The sequence below is a fragment of the Homo sapiens genome, chromosome 10 (genome assembly GCF_000001405.40).
Source record: "Homo sapiens chromosome 10, GRCh38.p14 Primary Assembly".
NCBI lineage: Eukaryota > Metazoa > Chordata > Mammalia > Primates > Hominidae > Homo > Homo sapiens.
In genome coordinates this window covers 105,232,296-105,258,050 of record NC_000010.11, presented here as the reverse complement: position 1 = coordinate 105,258,050, position 25,755 = coordinate 105,232,296, and the positions used below count along the sequence as shown (strand labels likewise).

General features: G+C 38.7%; 1 protein-coding gene across 2 annotated transcripts in view; it reads right to left on the bottom strand.

The window, feature by feature from the left end:
- Positions 1-25,755, bottom strand: part of SORCS3 (sortilin related VPS10 domain containing receptor 3) — a 623,953-nt gene that overhangs the window by 7,192 nt on the left and 591,006 nt on the right. For both annotated transcript variants that reach the window (NM_014978.3, XM_011539542.2), the window contains 5 exons: positions 12,386-12,509; positions 10,720-10,832; positions 5,145-5,276; positions 2,250-2,349; positions 1,127-1,232 (listed from right to left, as the gene is read on the bottom strand). In NM_014978.3, coding sequence (NP_055793.1) covers positions 1,127-1,232; positions 2,250-2,349; positions 5,145-5,276; positions 10,720-10,832; positions 12,386-12,509 — 575 coding nt within the window. The remainder of the gene's footprint in view (positions 1-1,126; positions 1,233-2,249; positions 2,350-5,144; positions 5,277-10,719; positions 10,833-12,385; positions 12,510-25,755) is intronic.

Below are 25,755 nucleotides of genomic sequence, written 5' to 3'. Positions count from 1 at the left end.
AGAGTCAAGCACCTTTACCACTGATCTCTACCAAAACCTAAAAGCATTATCTTTAGTTCCTGGAAAGACTCCAGGACTAAAGGAGGCTTTCAAACTCATCTGACAATAATTAATGACATTTTTACTTTACCCAGGCTTCCCAGGGAGCACATTTCTAGGCCACTGATAAAATTTCTGAGGGCCTATTATGTGACAGTTTATGGCACAGAGGGCATCTTTGGCAGGCATGTGCTTTGTTATTTATAATAGCATAGCTTTTTTGATTACTTAGTTCGTAGCACCTACACACACTATGACATTTAAATCATGTAGCAAACCTATAAAATATTATTGCTATTCTCATTTTACCAGTGAAGAAATTAAGACTTAGAGAGGCAAATAACAATTGCCCAAGGTTACAAACGCTAAAAGTTAAAATTGGATCTTATTTCAGAGTTTATACTCTTAATTAGTATACATCCTAGTAGAAGTTATAATTTGAATGTTAGTACAAAATTATTGATTTCAATTTTACGTTTCTAATAAGTATCTTGTTATACCACCCCTTCTGTGGCTTTCAAAAATAATTTCTCAAGACATGTGGAGTTTTGTTCTCCTAATCAATTTCTCTTTAGAATAGGAAAAAGAGGGAGAGGGATGGTAGTTGAATATCTTTAGCATGCAAATTTAAAGAGAGATGCTGAATAGCTGCAACAGGAGGTAAAAAAATGCATCGGTGTCTGTACATGTATGTATCAAATTTTAGTTGCATTTTCCCTATTTAACCACCTGAATGGATGTTGATCCATATAAAAACATCTTCTGAATATATAAGACCTTACTTTAGAAGTTTGATTGAGGTTTGAAAACCCCTTACACTTCTCTTGAAGATAATAAATTGATTTCATTGGCCAGTCTTTATTTACCTAACTCATTACACCTATAAATCATAATAGATAGAGTTCAGAGTCTCAAACCCATTTAATCCATGACCCTCAACCATTCTTGCTTTTACCCATTGTCAAACAGAAGTTCAAGGAGAATTAAAAATCACATTCTTGCGATGAGTTTAGTAAAGTTAGTTATAGGAAGAATCATTTGCAATGACCCCAACCCCACTACTAAATTGAGTGATAATAGGACATACCTTTTAAACTTGTAGATCAAAAACACAGCCAGGCCAACAAATACCACTGATAATAGCATAAGCATGGCTGAGCTGCTGTGCCCAGCACTGGAGTCCACCAATGGAGCTTGGAAAGAAGAACAGATAAGGAAAAGAACAGATATGCTCACTTGGAAGCTGTTAGCTGGAGGGAGTATTCATTGCAGGAAGGAGGCCACTGATCTCCATCCTTATGTCTAGTCTCCAATTCCCCTGCCTGATATCTGGGTGCAGAAAGTCTGGCTTCAATGATGGCAATGGCACCTGAGTACAGCTTCTTAGGGAAAGTAAACTTCTCTGTTCAGCCTGGGGAAACTTGCTAGTTCTTGGTATAAATTGAACAACGTATGTCCAGCTCAGGGGAGTGGAATAAGGGCTCCAGTGCTCTTTCTCTTAGATAGGCTGCATGCCTGTCACCATAATTACAGGGAGCCCATTTGAAATTTTGGGTTAAGTACTAATGCAGTGTTTCATTCTCTTCCTTTACACTGTTCTGATAAAAACCCACTGGATGGGCACATTTGTGACCTACACCTTGGAAAAGTCTTACATTATTAAGAACCATTTAATAAACAGGCTTTCCCAGAGAGCCCAAAGTAGATGCCCAATGGGACATGCCTTTTTAGATTTTTTCACAAATAAGCCAACTAGAGTTTGTTCCTGTTTCTACTTTGACTCACACATTGTAAACTAGAAGGGAGTTTTAAAGTTCTGTGGCCTACCATCCAAGATTCATAAAATCAGATAATCGAATGAATGAAGAGAGCTAGAGGACTGTCCAATATAATCCCAACTGTCACAGACAAAATAAAGAAATATACAAACAAACAAACGAATAAGGTTAAGACCCAAGTAAATTGTAGGTTTTCTCCGAGACCGTCTAGGGATTCAATGGCAAAGCTACTCCTAAGAAAGTCTTCTTGCAGGATGCCTTCAGAACAATGTGACTGATGTGACCAATCCTTCTGAACCATAACTACAAAAAGGACCCTTCTACAAAGCCACTTTCAGACATTATGCAGCAGGGTTTCATGATTCTCTCCTCCTTTTCTCTCTGGGATAACAGATCCTCTTTCCCATTTCCCCAGTTCCCAGTGGCACTCACCTAACGTCAGCTGTGTGACATACACAATGACTTGTACCCCCGGCTTCAGCTCAAACTGGACCAAATTTTGGTTGAGAGCATTAAACAGTGTTTCTACAATCTGAAAAAATAAGACAGGATGCATGGGGTGACATGACATGCAATGATGCTCCCTCATGGGGTAAGAAACCAAGGACAAGGTCAATAGGTAAAAAGTCACCATGGTTCAATTAGGGATAAGATAGTGAAAAATATTTATCGATTTGGTTCTCACAGCCCTTGGGGCCTTGTGAAACCAAGGAAGTACAGTTGACCCTTGAACTATACAGTTTTGTTTTTGTTTTGTTCTGTTTTGTTTTATACTTTTAGGGTACATGTGCACAACGTACAGGTTAGTTACACATGTATACATGTGCCATGTTGGTGTGCTGCACCCATTAACTCGTCATTTAACATTAGGTATATCTCCTAATGCTATCCCTCCCTCCTCCCCCGACACCACAACAGGCCCAGGTGTGTGATGTTCCCCTTCCTGTGTCCATGTGTTCTCATTGTTCAATTCCCACCTATGAGTGAGAACATGCGGACAGTTTTGAATTAAGCAGATCCACTTTTTTTTTTTTTTTTTTTTTTTTTGAGACTGAGTCTCGCTGTCGCCCAGGTTGGAGTGCAGTGGCGCGATCTCGGCTCACCGCAGGCTCCGCCCCCCCGGGTTCACGCCATTCTCCTGCCTCAGCCTCCTGAGTAGCTGGGACTACAAGCGCACGCCTCCTCGCCCGGCTAATTTTTTGTATTTTTAGTAGAGACGGGGTTTCACCGTGTTAGCCAGGATGGTCTCGATCTCCTGACCTCGTGATCCGCCCACCTCGGCCTCCCAAAGTGCTGGGATTACAGGCGTGAGCCACCGCGCCTGGCCGCAGATCCACTTCTATGTGGATTTTTTCAACAAAATGTGGATGGAAAATACAGTATTCACAGGATGTGAAACCTGCATATACAGAGGCCCAACTACTTCTTTTTTTTTTTAGATGGAATCTCACTCTGTTGCCAGGCTGGAGTGCAGTGGCATGATCTTGACTGGCTGCAACCTCTCCCTCCTGGGTTCAAGCGATTCTCCTGCCTCAGCCTCCTGAGTAGCTGGGATTATAGGCACGTGCCACCACGCCAAGCTAATTTTTGTATTTTTAGTAGAGACGGGGTTTCACCATGTTGCAGAGGCCCAACTTCTTACATGCAGGTTCTGCAGGGCCAACTGCAGGACTTGAAGATGCACAGATTTGGTATATCAGAAGTCCTAGAACCATTCTCCTATGTATACTGAGAGACAACTATAGATGGTAATATTTGCTTATTCTGGAGAGGAGAGTGAGAGACAGAAAGAGGCATGCCTACAGTCACTGGTGAATTAGAGCTATAATAGACATAGATGTTTCATTCAACTCCTAATTCACTGCTCTTTTATCCATGCCTTTATAACCCTCTAAAAAGACCTGTTATGGGTTCCAATGAAAGAAGTTCAACCCATCATTAGCTCTGTAATCTGATGAAGTCATAGACACAGGGGATGTAGGCCGCTGCCAGGATTAAAGCAGGTACATATACTACCAGCCCTCTCCTCTGCGTTTTCTATCTTAGAGACAATGGGAAGCAAACATCAAAGCAGAAGCTGCCTCCTTTTTATGGGATAATTTTTGTTCTTTACTTTTCCCTAGCAAGTCGCAGAACACATAACATCGATTTAATCACTCTGTAATTCCCACATGAAAGCTGAGGCCGACTTAGGCTGTTGTCCCTAACTCTTATCTCGCTGTATGCGCCTTAATATCACAGCTGCTATTCATCACTGTAATTACCTATTTATCTAAATGGATGGATATTGTAGCTTCCAAATATAGTTCACACATGCCACTTGCTATTTCAGAATAAAGAGGTCTTGTAAAAGTGATGTATGCATTAAGAAGCTAAATTTATTTCTGGCCAACTTCAATATGCAACCCTGCAATGCAAGAAATTATTTCTCAGAGAAACTGCAATCACATCTCTACCGCTCAATGTCTGTGGATGGCTGTAAGTAAGGATGGGGTGATGGCCAGTGAGTATCACAGGGACACAAAATATGTCTGTACAATGATTACCTCATATGAGAGCAAATGTTTGTGATTCATGCCGATTTTCTGCAGCCTCATGCTCACTTATTTCTATTGCACCTGACTTAGCATCATGAGAAAGAAAGGAAGGGTGAAACAGTGCAGGCATTAAGACCTCAGGAGGAATAGAGGATGAAAAGGAGAAACACCAGTCCTGCCATCCCCTTTACTTCCAGGACAGCGTGCAGATCACAGTATAGTTCTATATGCCCATTTGATAAGAACAGTAAATCACAATCCCTTTTGGAAATGTTGCTTCCTTAGTTAAAGCAAAGAGAGGCAATACATCCCTCTCCAAAAAATCATGTTTGAAGGCAGTTCATTTTCTCCCCAGAAGCAGAGCTTAACATTGGCCAGGATCTTTAAGGGCCAGTGCAGTTTAAAGACAAGAGGCACATAGTCCCAGAAATAAACAAGGAAATTCAAATTCCCCCCTTCTTTCTCTCTCTGTCTGTCTCTCTCTCTCTCTCTCTGCTGCTCCCCTTCCCCTGAATCCCAGGAAGAGTCACTGGGAGGGAGACATGAGCTGGCACAGGGATGTCAGACATTGGAATGAATAATGCCAGGGGTGACATTCCTTTCTGAGTAGCTGAATGCTCCAGTCTATTTGCACCTGTATTTACTCTGGGTAAGGGTGATTGCTCTTCAAAACCTTGGCTGTTGGGGTAATGGAAGAGAGCCTGTCTCCCTTTCTGGCTGAAAACAGCTTTGTGCCCTCTCAGGGTGTAGGGTGCAGGCAAGGGTCCCAGCCAGATTTACTTTCACTTACTTGTTCCAGGTCCCCTTCATTGCCTTTCCTCCTCTCTGTCAGGTTCTTGGGTGGAAGAATGAAAAGCTCTGCTGAAGTGGGGAGACCAGGAAACACGGCAATGAGGATCTGGTCCTCTGGGACACTGGTTACCTGCAAAGATGTTCAGACAAAGAGAGGCTGTGGAGGAGCCAGCCCTCCCCAAATCAATGACAAGAGCAGAGTGTGCACAGCCAGATGGCTCATGTGAGTTTTTCAAATGCAGCTTTTTAGGCACAGGCTCCAATATACATTCAGGCTTTCTTTCAGTTTTTCCCTTAGACCTGCTAGGTAAAACATTATTAGTTTCACTACCTCCCCTGCTCTTATATACATTTTTACTGAAACTAGAATGGTATTACAAATGATTTTTAAAACATTATTTGCTGGGAACATTGGCAAAAGTTCCTCTCATATTTTCCATTTTTCTATGAGAGCTAGAGCTTCTGGCTGAAACACAGGCTGGGTGCAAATGAGGAAAAAGAAGTCATAAACCAACATGGGAAAATGCAAATTTAAAGAAAGCCGAGCAATACTTGCTTTCACTTATTAAAGCAGGATTTTTTTTAAGTGCAATAGCTAATATTGGTAAGACTGCATTGAAGGAAGTTCCCTCATTTGGCACTGGCAGTGCTAGAAATTGATACATATTGCCAATTTGTTTTCTGAAAGACTTAATTTAAAGGCCATAAAAATATTCATACCCTTCAGTCAGTAACTGTAACTTGGTGAGTTTGTTCTAAAGACATGATCCAAAATATAGGAAAAGCCATATGCAGGAAAAAACACAACATTACTTATAATAGTAAATAAAGGGGAAAACCTCCAGTATTCAAAAAAATAAGCAAATACTGGTATAATCACCTGATAGACTATTATGCCACCATTAAGATGATAATAAGTACTATGAGACAACATAGAAAAATACTTATGATAGCTGCATTCCAATCTATTTCCTTACATTTCTTTGGTTACAACTCTATAAAAATACAAATATATAGAAGAAAAAAATAACAAAATACTAAACGTGGTTAAGAGGCTGAGAATACGAGTGAATTTTTCTATTCCTGAGTGGTTAGTAAAAGAATGATATTGCTTTGTGATAAAAACTTAAAAGTAAGCTTCTGTCTGAAGGCAAATTTTTAAAGAAAACAGGATGCTGAGTTCTCCCCCGTGAAGGGTAAGCTTGTTCTTTCCTGTGTGTCTCCTGAAGATCTTTTATCCAGAACATCACCACCTCTTCTGTCAATCCAAATATATAATTTGTGAATCAGGTGAAATACCCCCATCCTCCAAAGTGCCCCCTGACTATCTCTACCTGCAGTGATCTCCACCTTAGCCTCCCACCCCAAACACCTCCAAATGACCATGTCCACTGCATTTCAGAGATATAGACCATGTCCACCGTGACACATGATTACATCTGTCTGGTGTAGTCTTTTCTCAGATAGATCCTGATATGGTTACGCTTTGTGTCCCCACCTAAATCTCACCTTGAATAGTAATCCCCAGAATCCCCAGGTGTTGAGGGAGGAATCAGGTGGAGGTGATCGAATCCTGGGGGTGGTTTCCCCCATCCTGTTCTCATGATAGTGAGTTCTCATGAGAGCTAATGGTTTTATAAGGGGCCTTTCCCCCTTCGCTCTGCCACTCTTCTCTTTCCTGTCACCCTGTGAAGGGGTGCCTTCCGCCATGATTGTTAAGTTTCCTGAGGCCTCCCCAGCCATGCAGAACTGTGAGTCAGTTAAACCTTTTTTCTTTATAAATTACCCAGTTTCGGGTATACAAGTTTGAGAATGGACTAATACAGGTTCTTATGGTGTGATTGCCCAGATATTTCTGTCTGGGGTCTCACTGTTCCCAAGAATGCTTGACACAGAGTAAAAATTAAATAAATAGTTGCTAGATTGAACAGAAGCAGAGAGTTTGGTTGTTTTCCATTTGCTCAGCTCTGATTCCTATTTGGAATTAGGCTTACGGATTGGAGTTAACTCTCAGGGATGTGATAAAGAAAAGTGAAAGAGCCAGCCCGCAGGGAAGTAAGAAGCAGCAGTCAGAAGCCTAAAGAGTCCACCAACCAGGGAGGCATCCTCTTAACGGCCTGAGATGGTTAGCTAGATGCCTCAACATTCTTTCAAAGCATGATCCTTAGTAGCATTAAGTCCTAATGCCCAAGTCCATAAGGCTGGGGGCCTTTAACTACCTTAAAGCAAGTCTCAGGAGGCCAGACTAGGGGCAAAATGCAGAGAACCACCCAATGCAGTGAAGGGTTGGGTGGTGAGCTTATTAGTGCCTTGACTGGTGTGACCCTTTGTCTCAGGAAAGAACAATGTCAGGGAGTGTCAGTCCACCAAGGCCCTTACAGAGACCTTGGAGCAGTGTATACAGATTCATTTAACCCATCCAAAGGGACATACGAGTGATTGGTCCTTGTGAGATTTGAGGTCTGAGAATCAACTGACAGGACTGATTATTATTATTGCAATTACAAGTTATTTCCTAAAAAGCTAGTATCTTTTTAATGAACGTAACCATACATAACACAACCCAATTCTGGATGCCTTGCAACCAAAGACATATGCTATGATCTGAATGTTTTTGCACCCCCCACCCCCATTCATCTGTCAAAACTTAATATCCAATGTGATGGTATCAGGGTGGGGCCTTGAGAGGTGATTAGGTCATAAGGGTGGAGCCCTCATGAATGGGATTAGTGCCTTTATAAAAGAGACCCCAGAGAGCCACCTTGCCCTTTCCACCATGTGAAGACACAGCAAGAAGGTTCTGCCTATGAATAAGCAAAGTGGCTTTCACCAGACATCAAATCTACCAGCATCTTGATCTTGTACTTCTCCGCCTCCAGAATTATGAGAAATACACTTCTGTTGTTTATAAGCCACCCAGTTTATGGAACCTTGTTATAGCAGCCCAAACAGACTAACACAGCATACATAACAGTCTCATTCTCATCTCATTTTTTCTTTGTTTTTTCTTTTTGGTTTTTTTTTGAGATGGAGTCTCACTCTGTCGCCTGGAGTGTACTGGAGCAATCTCAGTTCACTGCAACTGCCACCTCCTGGGTTCAAGCAATTATCCTGCCTCAGCCTCCTGAGTAGCTGGGACTACCAGCATGCACCACCATGCCCGGATAAATTTTTTTTATTTATTTTTGTAGAGATGGAGTTTCACTGTGTTGCCCAGGGTGGTCTCAAACTCCTGAGCTCAGGCAATCCACCTGCCTCGGCTCCCAAAGTGCTAGGATTACAGGCATGAGCCACCGCTCCCAGCCCTCATTCTCATCTCTTTCTATGAATAGTCTCTTTGTAAAAAGATTTGAAGTGTAGTTACTCTTACAGACCGCTCCATACAGCAATGCTCCTATGTCATTCTCTTCTATTTATTCTTCTTCCTATCTGTCAGCTCCTTCTCCATGTCCTTCCTGGATCTTTCTCCTCTGCCTTGGGGAACCACCAGCAGTGTGTCTGCCTTGTCCCCCAACTCCTCTTTAGAGAGCCTAACAACCTCCACAGCCTCTTCTCTTACATCTCTCCCTCCAGCATGAACCTCTGCTTCATCTTCAGATCCATATTTTCAACCCTCCTGGTCATCTTCAACCAGTTGTTTCTCATGTGCTCCAGACTTACATTAAAAGTCAAATCACTATTGTTTCCCAAGCGTGTTTCTCCTACATAGTCCCCATCTTGATTAATGTAAGGCCATCTCCTACTGGCTCTTGTTATCAGAGAATTTCTCTCTCCTTCTCACCCACACGACATTTCCTTAGTCACCAATTCTATTGTTCAATTTTTTAAGTAGCCTTTGCCTCTTTTTCTTGAGCACCTTATATTTCTGGCCTAGATAACTGCAGTGGTCTTTTAGCTGGTCACCTTTTGTGAAATGTCTCCCCAACTATGCATTGCCACCAGAATGGGTTACTGACATATAAACCTATTCTCTTACTGAAATAAAAAAAAGAATACTTTTCATACTTTTCATACTTCCCAGTGCCTACAGAATAGATGCCAAGCTTCTTTTGGTCTCTCAAACCCTACACAATATGACATAACCATCCTAGCTCAATTTTAGCTGCACTTGCCCTTATAACCTACAGACTGGCTACACCAAACTCTTTGCCATTTCCCAAATATGTTGTACTCTTTTTTTTTTTTTTTTTTGAGATGGAGTCTCACTCTGTCACCAGGCTGGAGTGCAGTGGCGCAATATCTCGGCTCATGCAACCTCCGCCTTTTGGGTTCAGGTGACTCTCCTGCCTCAGCCTCCCGAGTAGCTGGGACTACAGGCACACGCCACCACACCCAGCTAGTTTTTGTACTTTTAGTAGAGACAGGGTTTCACCATGTTGGCCAGGATGGTCTCGATCTCTTGACCTCAGGTGATACACCCGCCTCGGCCTCCCAAAGTGTGCTGTACTCTTTATAGTCCATGACTTTGAACATGCTGCTCATTCAAACACCATCCTGCCCCTGTTAACTGACATTTATCCTTGCAAACACAGTTCAAGTATTCTCTCCAAAGATGTTCCAAGAGTTCAACAAGTATTTATTGAGTTGCAAATCTGTGCCAAGTCTTCATGTCCCTGGATAGCGTGAATCATACTGTTCTCTCTGCCCCATAGAGATGCTGGCCATGCCTCTAGCTTAGAGCTGCTTATACATTAGACTTATTTCTACATTTCAATTGACCATGTTTTATTCATCAATATATTCTAGTGCCTACCTCTGAGAAAATGTTTAACAAAACCCTTTTACTTTCTCTAAGGCAAATTTGACCTTGGATTAACTCTGTAATTCTATTACCCTGCTGGAACGCTCTGTTTCCTGGCCTGTAGCCTTCTGAGTGCAATCTGTGGCCAACGGTAGTCTTGTGAGTATAAATGTTTGGTTGAGAAGATCCTATTGGTGAACAAAGAGCCAGACAAGTGCATAATATTAGCAACAACTCAGTGAGTTGTCCATCCATTAGTGCATTAAAGGGATCAAGCCCCTATCTCAAACAAATTCATAATAAACATTGGGCCAGTTTCCTTCTTCAAACATTGAACTAGACTCTCTTTTATACTTCTCTTCTTCCTTCTTTAATCCTACAATTCTTGCTTTTTCTTCTTCTTCTTCTTCTTCTTTTTGACAGAATCTTGCTCTGTCACTCAGGCTGGAGTGCAATGGCGCAATCTCAGCACACTGCAACATCTACCTCCCCGGTTCAAGCAATTCTCATGCCTCAGCCACCTGAGTAGCTGGGATTACAGGTGTGCGCCACCACATGCAGCTAATTTTTGTATTTTTAGTAGAGGGAGTTTTGCTATGTTGGCCAGGCTAGTCTCAAACTCCTGGTCTCAAGTGATCTGCCTGCCTTGGCCTCCCAAAGTGCTGGGATGACAGGTGTGAGCGACTGCACCCAGCCTCTTCTCTCTCTTTTTACAGAGAAATAATCTTTAACTGTGGAATGCAGTTTCAATCCATGCCAATGTATTGTGGACCACACCATCTAGTTCTTTTCTTTATTCACAAGAACTTAAAAAAAGACAAAGCCAACTTACTTTAACCAGAGCTCGCTTGATGACATTGCCAATATCTTTTCTCCACTCAGGAATGTCAGGATTGTGGTAATCCAGATTAGGAGAGAATGATAAAAGCTGGGACTGGAAATATTCTGCAGGGAGAGAGAATGTTTAAGTGAGGCTGGGAGAGTGAGAAGAGAGAGGGTGTGACAGGTGTGGAGCTCCACCATCACTGTGCTTTTGGTAAAAGGTCTACTCTTTCACCAGGCTTCTGCTAGAATTCCTTGTTCTCAGCTTGTTTCCTGACTTCTGAAATAAAGTAGAATTTGGTGATTAAAAGTAGATTTGTGCTCCTACCAGTTTTTGTTAGTGTCTAAGATCTTAAGCCTTTCTTCCTGTATATTATCTGAAATGAAAGACAATTATGAAACTCCAGAAGGAGACGTCTGCTACTGTAGGTGGTACCAGGAAGAGCCAACACAAAGCATTAACAATTTGGACTTGGTTGGAATGGAGTCTTTTCACTTCTCCTTCTTTAATCCCTTCACCCATTGTGCTAGAAACTGCCTCTGAGGATTAGAAAATAGGTTTAAACTTTGTATCTTGACCTGGTTGGTGAGTATACAAGTGCATTCACTTTGTGGTAATGCATAAAACTAAACACTTGTGCCCTGCACGCTTCTGTATAAAATTTACAATACAATTAAAATGTTTACTTTGAAAGAAACACACAAACCTTCCATGTGCCCCTCGAAGAGCCTGAGAAGCAAGTTTGCAGAAAGGTAGGAAAAAGAATTTACCTGGTGTGAGGCTGGAGGAACATAATCTGATCAGAGGATCACAAGCCTTCACTTAACTTTCTAGAAAACCACAGTGATATTTACATTACATATGTAACAAACCTGCATGTTGTGCACATGTACCCTAAAACTTAAAGTATAATACATAAAAAAAAGAAGAAATGAAGAAATGAAATGAAGACATGTAAAACCAAAAAACCAATTACCATTAAAGAAATCAAACTAGTAATGAAAAATCTAAAAAAAAAGAAAAGAAAAGAAAACCACAGTGATACTGGTTGTGTCTAGGGACCTGGGAGAGGTTGTGTGAAATGGCAGTAGAGGCACTTTCATTTGTAATAAACTTAACAGTGGTTCTCCAGGGTTGAGAACAGGATAGTAGTCCTATTCACCCTCTTCTGCCCTAGTCCTAACTTATATTCTTAGCCTTATTATCTAGTTTTGCAGCCAATGATATTCAAATCTCCAACAATCAAGAAAGCCATCTGTTGTGAATAGAGATCATCTCATTAACTGAGCAATGAGTCCTACAAGGCAGGGATCATGACTCCTGACTTTTGGAAATTGCTGGTCCTCATCTCACAAAGAGTGTGTCCTGCATATATGTTGTAGATACCTCCCAGCTTGCATTTCCTTCAATTTGTGATACGTGTCTTTGTCTAATAAGAACCCCAAACAAGTTCTGAGGCAGACATAACACAGGGGACAACAAATACCTGTTTGTGGTATACGTCTCTTATAACCTCAATCTCTAGGTCGGAGGTAGGTTTGGAAGCTTCCTGTTGACCTATGTAATTTTCCCAGGGCCTGAGGAATTTCCACCACACTCAATGATTGTAGGGAGAGTGGACACAGGAGATTAACTGAGCGGGAAGGAGCATCACAGAACAATTTTCAGGGCTTACCATGAACTGCAATCTCTTTTGTGTCCTGGATGAGGGCATTCCCAGCAGCCACCTGGACTGTGATGGTGTCGGTTCCTTCTGCAAGGAATGTGAAGGAAATGCTGCTGTCCAAAGTGATGAGAGGCTACAAGAAGAAGTAACAATACTCATTCAGTCTTGTGTGGGATATCAACTTTATTTCCTTTCCTGAAACTCTCAGACTGTCATCCTAACTTGGAAAAGAAAAACAAACAAACAAACAAACGTTATACCGTTTCTTAAAACTGTGATTATTCTTCCAGTATCTAGGAAGAGTATTAGTATACTTGAAACACATTATAAATTATTAAATTCTAGAAATAAGGATAAGACTGGGCATCCTGGATTTTGCATGTCATTCTGCTCCTTCTCCTGGGGCAAAGTAGAAACAGCTTTTGTAACCTGTCCCTGTTGACTTTGGGAATAGGAGATCATTTCCCTTCTCCTCCAATATCTGGTGTCACTTATATTTTCATCCTATATTTCACTGGATTATGAGACCTTTCTGAGAAGTGATCACATAGTTATTTACTTCTGTATTACCCACCCTAAGCACACTGTCTTTTTTTTTTTTTTTTTTTGACAGAGTCTTGCTCTGCCGCCCAGGCTGCAGTGCAATGATGCGATCTCGGCTCACTGCAACCTCCGCCTCCTGGGTTCTAACAATTCTCCTGCCTCAACCTCCCTAGTAGCTGGGACTACAGGTGTATGCCACCACACTCAGCTAATTTTTTATATTTTAGTGGAGATGGGGTTTCACCGTGTTGCCCAGGCTGATCTTGAACTCCTGAGCTCAGGCAATCCACCCACCTCAGTCTCCCAAAGTGCTAGGATTACAGGCGTGAACCACTGCGCCCGGCCGCACATTGCCTTTCATAGAGCAGAAAATATATGTAAATTAGATGCACCATCAGATTACTGACTTTTTATATTATATGTGTGTTTCCCATTGCAAGGCATTTTTACCATTTTTAATAGGTTGGAAAATACACAAAAAAACATATTTGTGATCATTTATTAATCTTTTTCTTTCTGTTTTTCCCCCAATAATCATAACATATAGGAAGTTCTCAAGGATGAAGACAGAAATAGAATGCAGATATACCTCAGAATTCACAGAGGATTGGTTCCAGGACCGCTGTGTATACAAAAATCCATGCATACTCCAATCCCACTGTAGACCCTCCATATCTGCAGGTATTGCATTCTGCAAATGCTGTATTTTCAATCTAAGTTTGGTTGCAGATGTGGATCCTGACGATATGGAGGGCTGACTGTATTTCTTGAAAAAAAACAACCCACATATAAGTGGACCTGTACATTTCAAACCCTTGTTGTTCAAGGGTCAGCTCTAATTATATATATATATATATTTTTTTTTCCTGGAAAGAAGAATCTTGATTAAAAAGCAGATGCTTATTGGAGAGAAGAGAGTACAGATCTTCAGTCTGATGAGTCATTATTCACTGGGCATCTTAAAGTCAGTGCCCTCTCAAATTCTCTACTGTTTGGAAAGTAAGACGTAACAGTTGGAGGCTGATCTAAGGCAGCTGATAAAGAGATGTCACAGGGGCAGATGAGCAGACTCTCTCTCCTCTCTTTGTGTCAGGACGACAGCAGGATGGAGAGTAGCAATGTAGCCAGCTGCAGAAGCACAGAGCTGCCCTTTAAGAGGGGCAGGACAGTCCTTCACAACATACCCATGTATGGCTTGGATGCATGTGTACAAAACCCTGCAGAGGCTCCCAGCTGCAGCTTTCAGATGGTGTCCCTACTGTAATACTGAAATTCCTTTCTAGCTCAGACTTTTCAACTGGCCTTGAAACAATAATTTAATTTCTTCTGCTTTAAAATTCTATAGCTCTGTTTTATGACGAGGTTGATGGCTGGAGTTGGGCAGGATTACAGATACTGTCCTAAGCATCTGGCATATTTCTTTTCTATTTGGTAAATGAAAGAAGAAAGGGAGTATGGAAAGGGATATACTCCTTCCCTTAACTAAGGGCAAACCTCAGAGTTCAGGCATTCTTTCCCATACTTATGACTGGGTGATGACACACACATGGGTGTGACCTTCTGAATTAATCGATAAATGAGGTGTAAGCAGGTTCTGACATGCATATAAAATCCAAAGGGTCAATAGTGGCTGTTTATGGTCCTGTTTGGAGAAGAGAGATGAAGTCAAGCTGGGCTGAGCATAGCTCAGGGCCATGGAATAAGGGAATATCAACATGTGTGGCACAGAGTCACCATTTCTAGTATAATTAGAACAGTGACTTGAAACTCACTCTGTTACTGTTTGAATCAATATCCTTAGGCAAAGTTTGTCTGCATTCTGGCCTTTACTTCTTTATCTGTTAAATGAGTGGTTTGGGTTAGGTGATCTGTGAGGACTCAGCAATCAGAATGTTGCATTGACAAATGGATTTAGGCAAAATTTCTAGTTTCTATTGGTCAGTCCATCAGGTCTTATCTGACACAAAACCTTCAATTGGTTCATTACCTTTGCTACATTCGTTAAAAAGAAAATGAGATATCTCTAAACACCCAACAGAATGGCTAAATATATATATATAAATATATATAAATATATAAATATATATAAATATATGTAAATATATATGTATAAATATATATAAAAATACATGTATAAATATATATTATATATAATATATATCATACAATATATAATATATATCATATATTATATATAATTTATATATCATATATATTATATATATAATTTATATATCATATATTATATATAATTTATATATAAAAATATATATATAATTTATATATAAAAATATATATATAATTTATATATAAAAATATATATAAATTATATATAAATGTATATAAATATATAAATATATAAAATATATAAAATATAAATATATATAAATATATAAATATATATAAATGTATATAAATATATAAATATATAAATGTATATAAATGTATATAAATATATATAAATATATATAAATGTATATAAATATATATATAAATGTATATAAATATATATAAATATATATAAATGTATATAAACATATATAAATATATATAAATATATAAATATATATAAATGTATATAAATATATAAATATATATAAATATATATAAATGTATATAAATATATATAAATATATATAAATATATAAATATATAAATATATAAATATATAAATATATATAAATATATATAAATATATGTATAAATATATAAATATATATAAATATATGTATAAATATATAAATATATATAAATATATGTATAAATATATATAAATATATGTATAAATATATATATAAATATATGTATAAATATATATATAAATATATGTATAAATATATATATAAACATATGTATAAATATATATATAAATATATGTATAAATATATATATATAAATGATAACAAGTAATATTGAAGATGCAGGACAATTAGGACTCATATAATTTTGGTGGAAATGTAAAATGGTAGAATGATTTAGGAAAATGTTTAGTTTTATAAGAAATTGCAATAACTTTTTCCAAAGTGGTGTGACAGTGACAGGAGGCAGCCAAATGCCTAGGCAGATAGGGGCGGGTACCCAGTGAAACCCCACCTCCAAGCTAAAGACGGTTTAAAGCCTGAAAGCCAAGTTACAAGTTAAATCTTTGGACTGGATTGAAAACTTTTCTCCCTGTTTGGTGCGCTTTCTCTGATTGATCCCTATTCTTCACCTACTTTACATATACCTACCCTTTCCTAGTTGGTTTTCTACACTGTCATGCCCACCTTTGAATGGTGTCTTCACTTGATCCTTTTTTGCATATTCACAAACCAGTCAGCACACAATCCCCATCCTGTGCCTATAAAGACCCCAGACTCAGTTGGTAGAGAAGACGACGGCCTGACTTCTGGGAGGAGACAGCCTGACTTGAAGTCAGGGAGGAGATGACCTGCCCTTCTTGTCCCCTCTCCAGCTCCCCTCTCTGCTGAGAGCTGTTTTCATTGCTCAGTAAAATTCTCTGCCTTCACCATCCTTCAACCATCCATGTGACCTCATTCTTCTTGGATGCCAGACAAGAGTTCAGGACCCACCGAGTGTGGGTACCCAGAAAGACTGTCACACTGGCCCTTTACTCGCAGTGGCAGAGGGCAGCTGCCCCACATGACAAGGCAAGGGGCCAACTGAGCTGCTAACATGCCACTGTCCGCAGATGGTAGAGCTAAAGGTGCACTCTAACACCCCCTCTGGGGCTTCAGGGTTGTGAGCACCCTCACCTGGGGCTGCTGCGCTCCCCCTGAGGTGATACACCTGGTCTGGCCATGGGCCCTCCATGGAGCTTGCTCCTGTGTCAGCACCCAGAGTGTATGGCCAGATCCCACACTAACTCGCTCACATGCTCCCTCCCACAAGCATGGTGGGCCAGGTAGAGGGAACACCACTGCTGCGAGTTCAGTGAAGGGGCCAAGAAAAATCCTCCATCAGTTGTACTATATGTATATTTTATGATTTGGGAACTGCAACCCTAAGAATTTAGTCAAGAGAAAAGAAGACACAAGTATACAAACAAAAAAATAAATGTTCATAGTGGCTTATTCATAGCAGCCCAAAATAGGAAACAGCCCAGGAATTCATTAGTAGGAGATTTAGTAGGAAATAAATACTGAGATATATATAGATATAGATATAGATATATATATATATATTTTTTTCAGTGTTTGTGTGTGTATATGTGTGTGTATATAATCAGTATGGATAAATCTCCAAACCAGCAAATCTAATTTATGATGAAAAAATAGAATAGTGGTTGGTTCTGGAGACTGGACTGGAGATTGACTGAGAAGGGGGACTGGGCTGGAGATTGACTTAGAAGGGGCATGAGAGGACTTTCAGGAAGTTTGGATTACACAGGTGAATGTCTTTTCCAAAACTCAGTAAGTACACACTGTTGAATTTTGCATTCCATTGTTGATAGGATTTATACCCCCACAGGGCTAAAAGTATAAAAAAAATTCAACTACGGTTAATGATTTGCAAGCTGAATCATTTAGGACAAAGAATATAGGTGTCTTAAATTTACTTTGAAATGAATAAAGCATCAAGATAGACTAATGGATGTATGCAGAAGGATGGACAGATAGACATGTGATAGAACAAGCATAGCAAATACTAATGGTAGACTACAGGTGGTGTGTATGTTGATGTTCACTGCACAGTTCTTTCAGTTTTCCGTTTTGTTTTACTGCCTTCAGCTATTTCTCATCTTTTCCCACCTATCACCACCAGGCATTTTTCTCCCTTAATAGTTTTCTCTTTAGAGAATCTTCACTACTTCCAGCTCATCTTCTTCAGCTCTCAGTAGCATACATGGCCCTCTCTCCTTTTTCTGCCCTCTCTTAAGATTCAGCTGGTCGGTGCTGTCTTGGGCAATGGAATCTCTTTTGAGAGTGATGGAATTCTTCCTGTCCTAGCAGATTTGATCTTGTCTCCTCCATCTGGCTGTTTCCCTAGGAGATCCAGGGCCCAGCAAGGGTGCAGGGATGCAGGGCAAAGGGAATGCCATCTGAAGTAAGAGAGTATGTGCCCTCCTGCCAGCCAGTCAGGGCACTCAGCCACAGCAAACAAACTGTGCTGAATGGGAACACTTGGTCCCCAGGTGGCAAGCCACAGACTCTTGTGCTGGGAAAATGGCAGGAGCTAATTTTGTTTTCCAAATTGCTTTTGTTTCTCATCAGCTGTTATGGCAGCATGGCTGATTTCACCTTCCTTGCAAAGCTGGAACACTCAACAGGATTCTTGAGTTCTTCATCAGCCACTGATATCTGGTGCCCAATGCTAAATTAAATCAAGTATTTTAAGGTTCATCTACTCAAATATATTAGGCAAGCAGACACATTTATTAAGCCAGACCTCTGTTAATCCCAGCAAATTGGCCTTTCAGAGCCCCACAAATCCAACAGGCAGCTGATTGACTTCTCTGTCTCTGTGCTTCATCCAATCTACAGAGCCAGCCCACAGGGAGGCCCCTTAGAAAAATACCTCATGCCCTGCCTAGGCTGTGAGCTACATCCCTCCCCACAGAGAATCCCTCATGTGCGACAGGTCACATATTATCCACTGAGCCCAGCAAGAAATCGACAAAGCTCTGTGTGACTATTTAGTTATGAGATTTCCACTTGACAAATGGAACTAAGCAAGCTGCAGGGAAATCTTTGGATGCAGCCTACATCAGTTTCCCAGACACAGTAAGTCAAGTTAATATTGTACACTTTAAAATCTCTGCAACTTAAAATGCATACCTTGATAACAGCTGCCAGTCCCAAATTGGACAGACTATGCAGTCACTATGCTTGCCTTATTTAAAACCTTCAGCAGATTATATAGTAATGTGTGCAAAGTGCTCATCATATGAGGTACAAAGGCTGGATATATAATTGTGGATCTACCACGTTTAGAACTATATAAAAAATCTTAACATACAAAGAAATAAAGCAAAATACTATCTATAGCTACTAGTTTTAAACTAAAACTCAACTAAACTAGTGATATAAGATGGAACCAAATTCATGGTTCTATTCACTAGTTTAGTTTAAAACTAAACTAGTAGCTATGGATGCTATTAAAGAATAAAGCAAAGAAATAAAGCCAAATAATACAGTAAACTAGTAGTTTAAAGCTAAAGTGATAGTTATAGATTCTATTTGGCTTTATTCCTTTGTCTTTGTGTGTTTTTAAAGGAGAAAAATGACTGGTGGTAATAGGTGGGAAAAGATGATAAATAGTTGAAGGTAGTAAACCAAAACTCCCATACTTTTATGCCTATGGGATTAATGTGAAAATTCACAGGTTAAAAAAGCACTTTCCCTCAAATACAGATACACAAACATACGCACTTAAATACATCTAAAAACTCTTTGACAGTATCTGTCTAAAGTATTACTGTCCATGAATCTGGTTCTATCTTATATCATGCTGCCCTAAATCAGAATTTTTGTGACAAAAGCAAAAGCATCAATTTTTATCATTCAAAGCCATCTGTCATCTGTCTTCCTCACCTTTCAGCGTTTTCTCCAACTTCTGCCCAAATGAATCCTTTAACTTTGGCTGAATTAGTCTATCATCCCCAAAGCCTGACCTCCACACAAAAATCCCTCTCTTTCCTCTCTGCCTCAATTCTACTGCTCCTTCCATGCCAGCTTAGGCTCAACTTTGTATATGACTCACTCACTCCATGATCAACAATGTCTGCATATCCATCACTCCCCAGCCTGCCTGACTTAGCCAGTAATTTTACATTCCTATTGCATACCTGCTTTTATCTATTCTTGAATTTTAGCCTTATATTCTCAAATAGATTACATGTTTCTTGAAAGCAACAAATGGAATTTACACTGCTTTGCATTCCACACAACATGTAGCACAAACGACAGGCTCTTAAAAAAGATCCACAAAAGTACTGATGAAATTTCACATTGCCCACTGATAGATTTGTAGGCACATGAGCCTACAGTTGGATTTCAGAAATTCTTGCTCTTTCCTGTTTGCTTATAGAATCTATTTGCTTGTCAATTATTGCATATGTGCTCATTGTGCTTTCTTATTGGGGACATAATCTCCTTGAAGGTATGGAGAATGTCATATGTGTTTTTCTATCCCTAATATCAACGAGCAAAAGTCTGATTATAAAGCAGGATGCCAATTCACTCTTATCAGTAGGATGATTTAATTTAACTACTTACATAGTAACCTAGTCACACCAACACAAACACATAAAACAGCCATAAAACATCACCTTCCAAGGTTATTTCCTTAATTGTATTCTCTGTAAAAGGGGATAATTTCTATTTCATCAGTGATGTTCTGATAACAATAAAATCCCTCAGTACACAATGCGTACCAGAAATATATGCTCAAAATTAGTACTAGTTCCTTTTACAGGTCAGTTTGCTGGTCAAAGGGAACCAAACAGCTCTAAAATCACGGCACTCCCCATATATGCAGAGACATTCATTCATTTGCCAGCCAAATATAGTGCTCACTGGATCAACTACTGGGGACCATGGCCATCTTGATGTGTTTCTGGCATGGTGTTAGCAAATAGCACTGCACTGAAAATGCACCTCTTTCAAATGGACCAAGTAAACATTTTTAGAAATTAAACTGTAATCTGTGGAACCAAGTCAGGTTTTTAGCCTAAATACAAATGCTATTAATGCAAATGATGGGCACAACAGTGACTAATACTTCCAAATGCTCGGATGTGTTCTAAACACTTTCTACGCCTTTCTTTACTTAATCCTTGCAGCAATACTTGATCATAGATACTACTGTTATTACTCAGACATTACCAACAATAAAACTGAGACTCAAAGAAATTAAATGGTTTGACTTCACTAAAGGCATACAGCAAAGAAGATTCGGTCTGGACTCCAACCTAGGTTTGTCTTGTTCTGCAACCACTCCATTCTACTGCCTCTCATGTATTGTCATTCTCTTGGTTCTTTGGGAACAAAACCACTTAGTAAGACCTTTGGGACCTGGGTATTTGTGCAGCATTTCATGTTCAAGCTTTTGGATTAAAAATTCCTAACCAAGGAAATACCTCTCGTCACCATTAATTAAAAAACATAAAATTATAATGCCAGTATGTAATTTAAAAATGCCTTCTCATAATATGGCATAATATATATGAGGTAGGTAGTAGATAGATAGATAGATAGATTGATTGCTTGATAGAGAAGTGGAGAGACAGAGAGATACACAGTAGATTTCAAATAATAACTAAGTCATGTTCATATATTACATATTATAGTATCCTTGCTTTAGAGAAATCGATACAAACTCAAATTAAGTGACTCATTCAATTTAACACAGATAATTATTACAGAAGTATAAACTAGAATCCCCAATTGCTTTGTTCATTTATTTGTTTTTAGTCATATACCTATCAGACACTGCATGGCATTTCAGGTCTTAGAAACAGCACTCAAAGAAAAAAATAGAGCTGTAGAGAAACATTGTGTCTTCCATTCCTCACAGGCCCCTAAGTAAATCACTGTGTTGGTAACAGTCAAGAACTGCCCTTCTTGCACACAGAAGTTTCTTAGAAAAGATCATCATCAGGTAAATGAGCTAGAACAAGAAAGAATTCTCTGACTTGACAGCCAAACCCTCACATCTGCACAGGAGAAATGAACTTAAAATCGTCCTCTTTCTAACTTCTCCCTAAACAATTTTCTCTTTTTCCTTCACTATGTATATCTGCTGGTCTTTGAGGCACAATTTTAGATTATGTAACCTCCAGGAGATAAACACCTCTAGTAGTGCAGCTAAAGCATCTGGGACTGGGGAGAGTGCATGATAAATGGGAATTAGTAGACCCAGTTTTGAGGTCTGGCTCTGCAACTAACCAAGTGTTTGAATTTGGGATGTTCACCTCAGACAGGGAGCTTAACTTCTCAAATGTACCAAATAGGGCTTTTATTAAATGACCTATCCTTCTGTTTTCCTGGTGAAGAATAATCCCAGAAATGCAAGTGCATTAGTCATCTATACGGAGAAACTAATTTGAAAATATGAGGCACATATAATGCAAACAGAAAAGGGTTCCTTGGTCCATGAATCTTGCTCTATATTTTACCAACCCATGCTAAATATAAGTTCTAATAACATCATGAAAAGCACCCATTTATTGAGTACATAGTGTGTGCCAAGTAAATAGTATAGTTTTACTATATATTTATGCTATAAAATAGCATAGTTTTCACAACAATAAAGTTGAGATAGGCATTATTATTTCCACTTTATGGTGAGTCAATTACATCTTAGGACAGATAACTTTATCAAGCTCTCACACAACTAAGAAGTAGCAGTTCTAGAAACTTAACCCATGAAACCCTAAATCCAAGGTCCATGTTCTGTCCACTATATCGTGCTGCCTCCCTAAAAAAGACTGGGGATAAGTTATCTCCCACTTATGCAGGAGTAAGGATGGGGTGACCTTCTCTTCAGTTGTTATCCACCAGAAACTGAATATTTATTTCCCTTCTCTTTAGATATCCAGCATTTCCAAGTCTGAGGTCGTACCTTACTTAAATTATGGTTTTTAAGTTAAAGCTTTCTCTAGGATAAGCAATGCCAATCACATTATGAGTTTAAAAAAAAAAAACCAGAGTTTTCAAAACACACACACACACACACACACACACACACACACAGTCTGAGAGTTCAAAACTCCAGGGGGATTCATAGGAAGCCCCTTCACTTTGTGAATTTTATCACCAGTAGGTGACCACATACTCCCAACAAATGTTAAAGAAAATTGCCCATATGGTTATATCAGGGGAGGGGGAAAATAATTATTCTGAAATACACATCAGAGCACTACATTCTTTTTAACAAGGTCTGCTCTCAGAAGAAACTTATAAATCAGAGACTAAACTTCAGGGGTTTTATAGTCCAACTAAGCTACGGGAAGTAAAATACACAACACCAGCCCACTTTATCCTTCCATGTGGGAGAACATAGATACCTACCTACAGCCCACTCTAGCTAATCTAATCAACCTGAGGGATCAGGAGAGGGAGAACAAACAGAAACACCTGTAAATACCTGAGAACTAATCACAGGTTGATAAAAAGCTTCCCCTCCTTCCATAGCTTACCATCACATTACTAAAGACTTATTTACAGCCATTCCTTTCAAACCAGTATATCATGTCCAGCTGTGAAGAAAAAAATTACAAGGCATACTAAAGGGAAAAAACATAGAAGACACAGAGAAAGTATCAGAGTCTGATACAACAGGGATGTTGCAATGACCAGTGCAGAAATTTCAAACAAATTTAATTAATGTGCTAAAAGATTTCATGGATAAGGTAGACAGCATGCCAAAACAGATGAGCAATGTAAACAGAAAGTTGAAAATTCTAAGAAAAAAAAAGAAATGCTAGGGATCAAAAACACTGTACCTGAAATTTAAAAATGCCTTTGATGTGTTTTTAGCAGACTGAACACAGCTGAGGAAGAATCTCTGAGCTTGAGAACATCTCAACAGAAAATGCCAAAACTGAAAAGCAAAAACAACAAAAAGTAAAAAAAAAAAAAGGAAAAGAATATCCAAGAATGAGGAACAACTAAAAATGGTATAAATGCATGTAATGTGAATAACAGAAAAAGAAACAGAAAAAAATCTGAAATAATTATAACTGAGAATCATAGCAAAGTAATGTCAGACACCAAACCACAGACACTCAAAACTCAGAGAACACTGAGACAGATAAATGCTGAAAAATCTACACCTAGATGTATCATTTTCAAACTACAAAAAAAATCAAAGATTAAGAAAAAAAGTCATGAGAGAAGCTAGAAGAAATAAATACCTTACCTATAAAGGAGAAGAGATAAGAATTATATCCAACTTCTCCCCAGAAACCATGTAAGCAAGAAGAAAGTAGAGAGACATATTTAAAGGGTTGAGGGAAAAAAACACCACCAATCTAGAATTCCGTACCCTGCAAAATTATCCATCAAAAGTGAAGAAGAAAAGAATGTTTTCTCAAACAAAGAAAAACTTAAGAAACTTGTCAGTAGATCTGTTTTGCAAAAATCATTAAAGTTTCTTCAGACAGAAGGAAATATAGGTCAGAAACTTGAACCACATGAAGAAAGAAAGAACAATGAAGAAGAATAAATGAAGGCAAAATTTTTTGACCCAGCAATCCCATTACTGGGTATATACCCAAAGGATTATAAATCATTCTACTATAAACACACTTGCACATGTATGTTTATTGTGGCACTGTTCACAATAGCAAAGAGTTGGAACCAACCCAAATGCCCATCAATGGTAGACTGGATAAAGAAGATGTGGCACATATACACCATGGAATACTATGCAGCCATATAAAAGGATGAGTTCATGTCCTTTGCAGGAACATGGATGAAGCTAGAAACCATCATTCTCAGCAAACTAACACAAGAACAGAAAACCAAACACTGCATATTCTCACTCATAAGTGGGAGTTGAACAATGAGAACACATGGACATAGGGAGGGGAACATCACACACCAAGGCCTGTCAAGGAGGGGTGGGGGGCTAAGGGAGCAATAGCATTAGGAGAAGTACCTAATGTAGATGACAGGTTGATGGGTGCAGCAAACCACCATAGCATGTGTATACCTATGTAACAAACCTGGATGTTCTTCACATGTACCCCAGAACTTAAAGTATAATTAAAAAAAGAAAGAAAAGTATTATTCTCAATTGACTTAACAGAAAAAAAATTTGTTCAACATAAACATACCAACAAGGTATTTGATTATGTATACTTATGTATATATCTTATGTATGTTTACATACAAGTGAAATGAGTGACAACAGTGAGAGAAGAGGCAAGAGACAAGAATTTAGAATTATTTTTACTAAAAGCCACTCTCACTACTATTGAAGTGGTATAGTGTTATTTAAAATGGGCTTGGATTCATTGTAAGTGTATATAGCAAATTCTAGGGCAATCACTTTAAAAAGTTTTTTTTTTTTAAAGTATGAGTGATATACAAAAAAAGAAATAAAATCAATAAGGACATAGTTGATTTTAATAATGCCACCAATCAACTGGATATAACTAACATCTATAGATTACTTTATCAGACAACAGCAGAATACACATTCTTCTAAAGCCCAAATAGAACATCCACTGAACTAGACCACATCCTGGGCCATAAAACACACTTTAACAAATATGAAAGAATAGAAATCATACAATGTCGGCTCTCAGAACACAATTAAATTGAGCAATAAATAATTAACAGAAAGATAACTAGAAAGTCCCAAAATACACGGAGATTAAACAAGACACATCTAAATAACATATTAGTCAAAAAATAAATGTCAAGAGAAACTAAAAAGTATGTTCAACTAAATGAAAATTTAACAAATCTAACATTTGTGGGATGCAGCAAAAGCAGTACTTAGAAGGAAATTTATAGCATTGAGTGTATATATTAAAAAGAAGTATCTAGAATCAGTCATCTAACCTCCCATCTCAGGAAACAAGAAAAAAAAAACTCCAAGGTAAGCAGAAAAAAAGAAATAATAAAAACTAGAACAGAAATCAATGAAACTGAAAATAGGAAATCAATAGAGAAAATCAATTTTTAAAATCTGGTTCTTTGAAAATATCAATAAAGTTAATAAGCCTCTGGCCAGGCTAATTAAGAAAAAAGAGAGGGGACACAAATTACTAATATCCGAAATGAAAGAGGGGACATCACTACAAATCTTATAGATATTAAAATGGTGACAAAAGAGTATGATAAACACTTCTATGGCCACAACTTTGATAACCCAGATGAAAT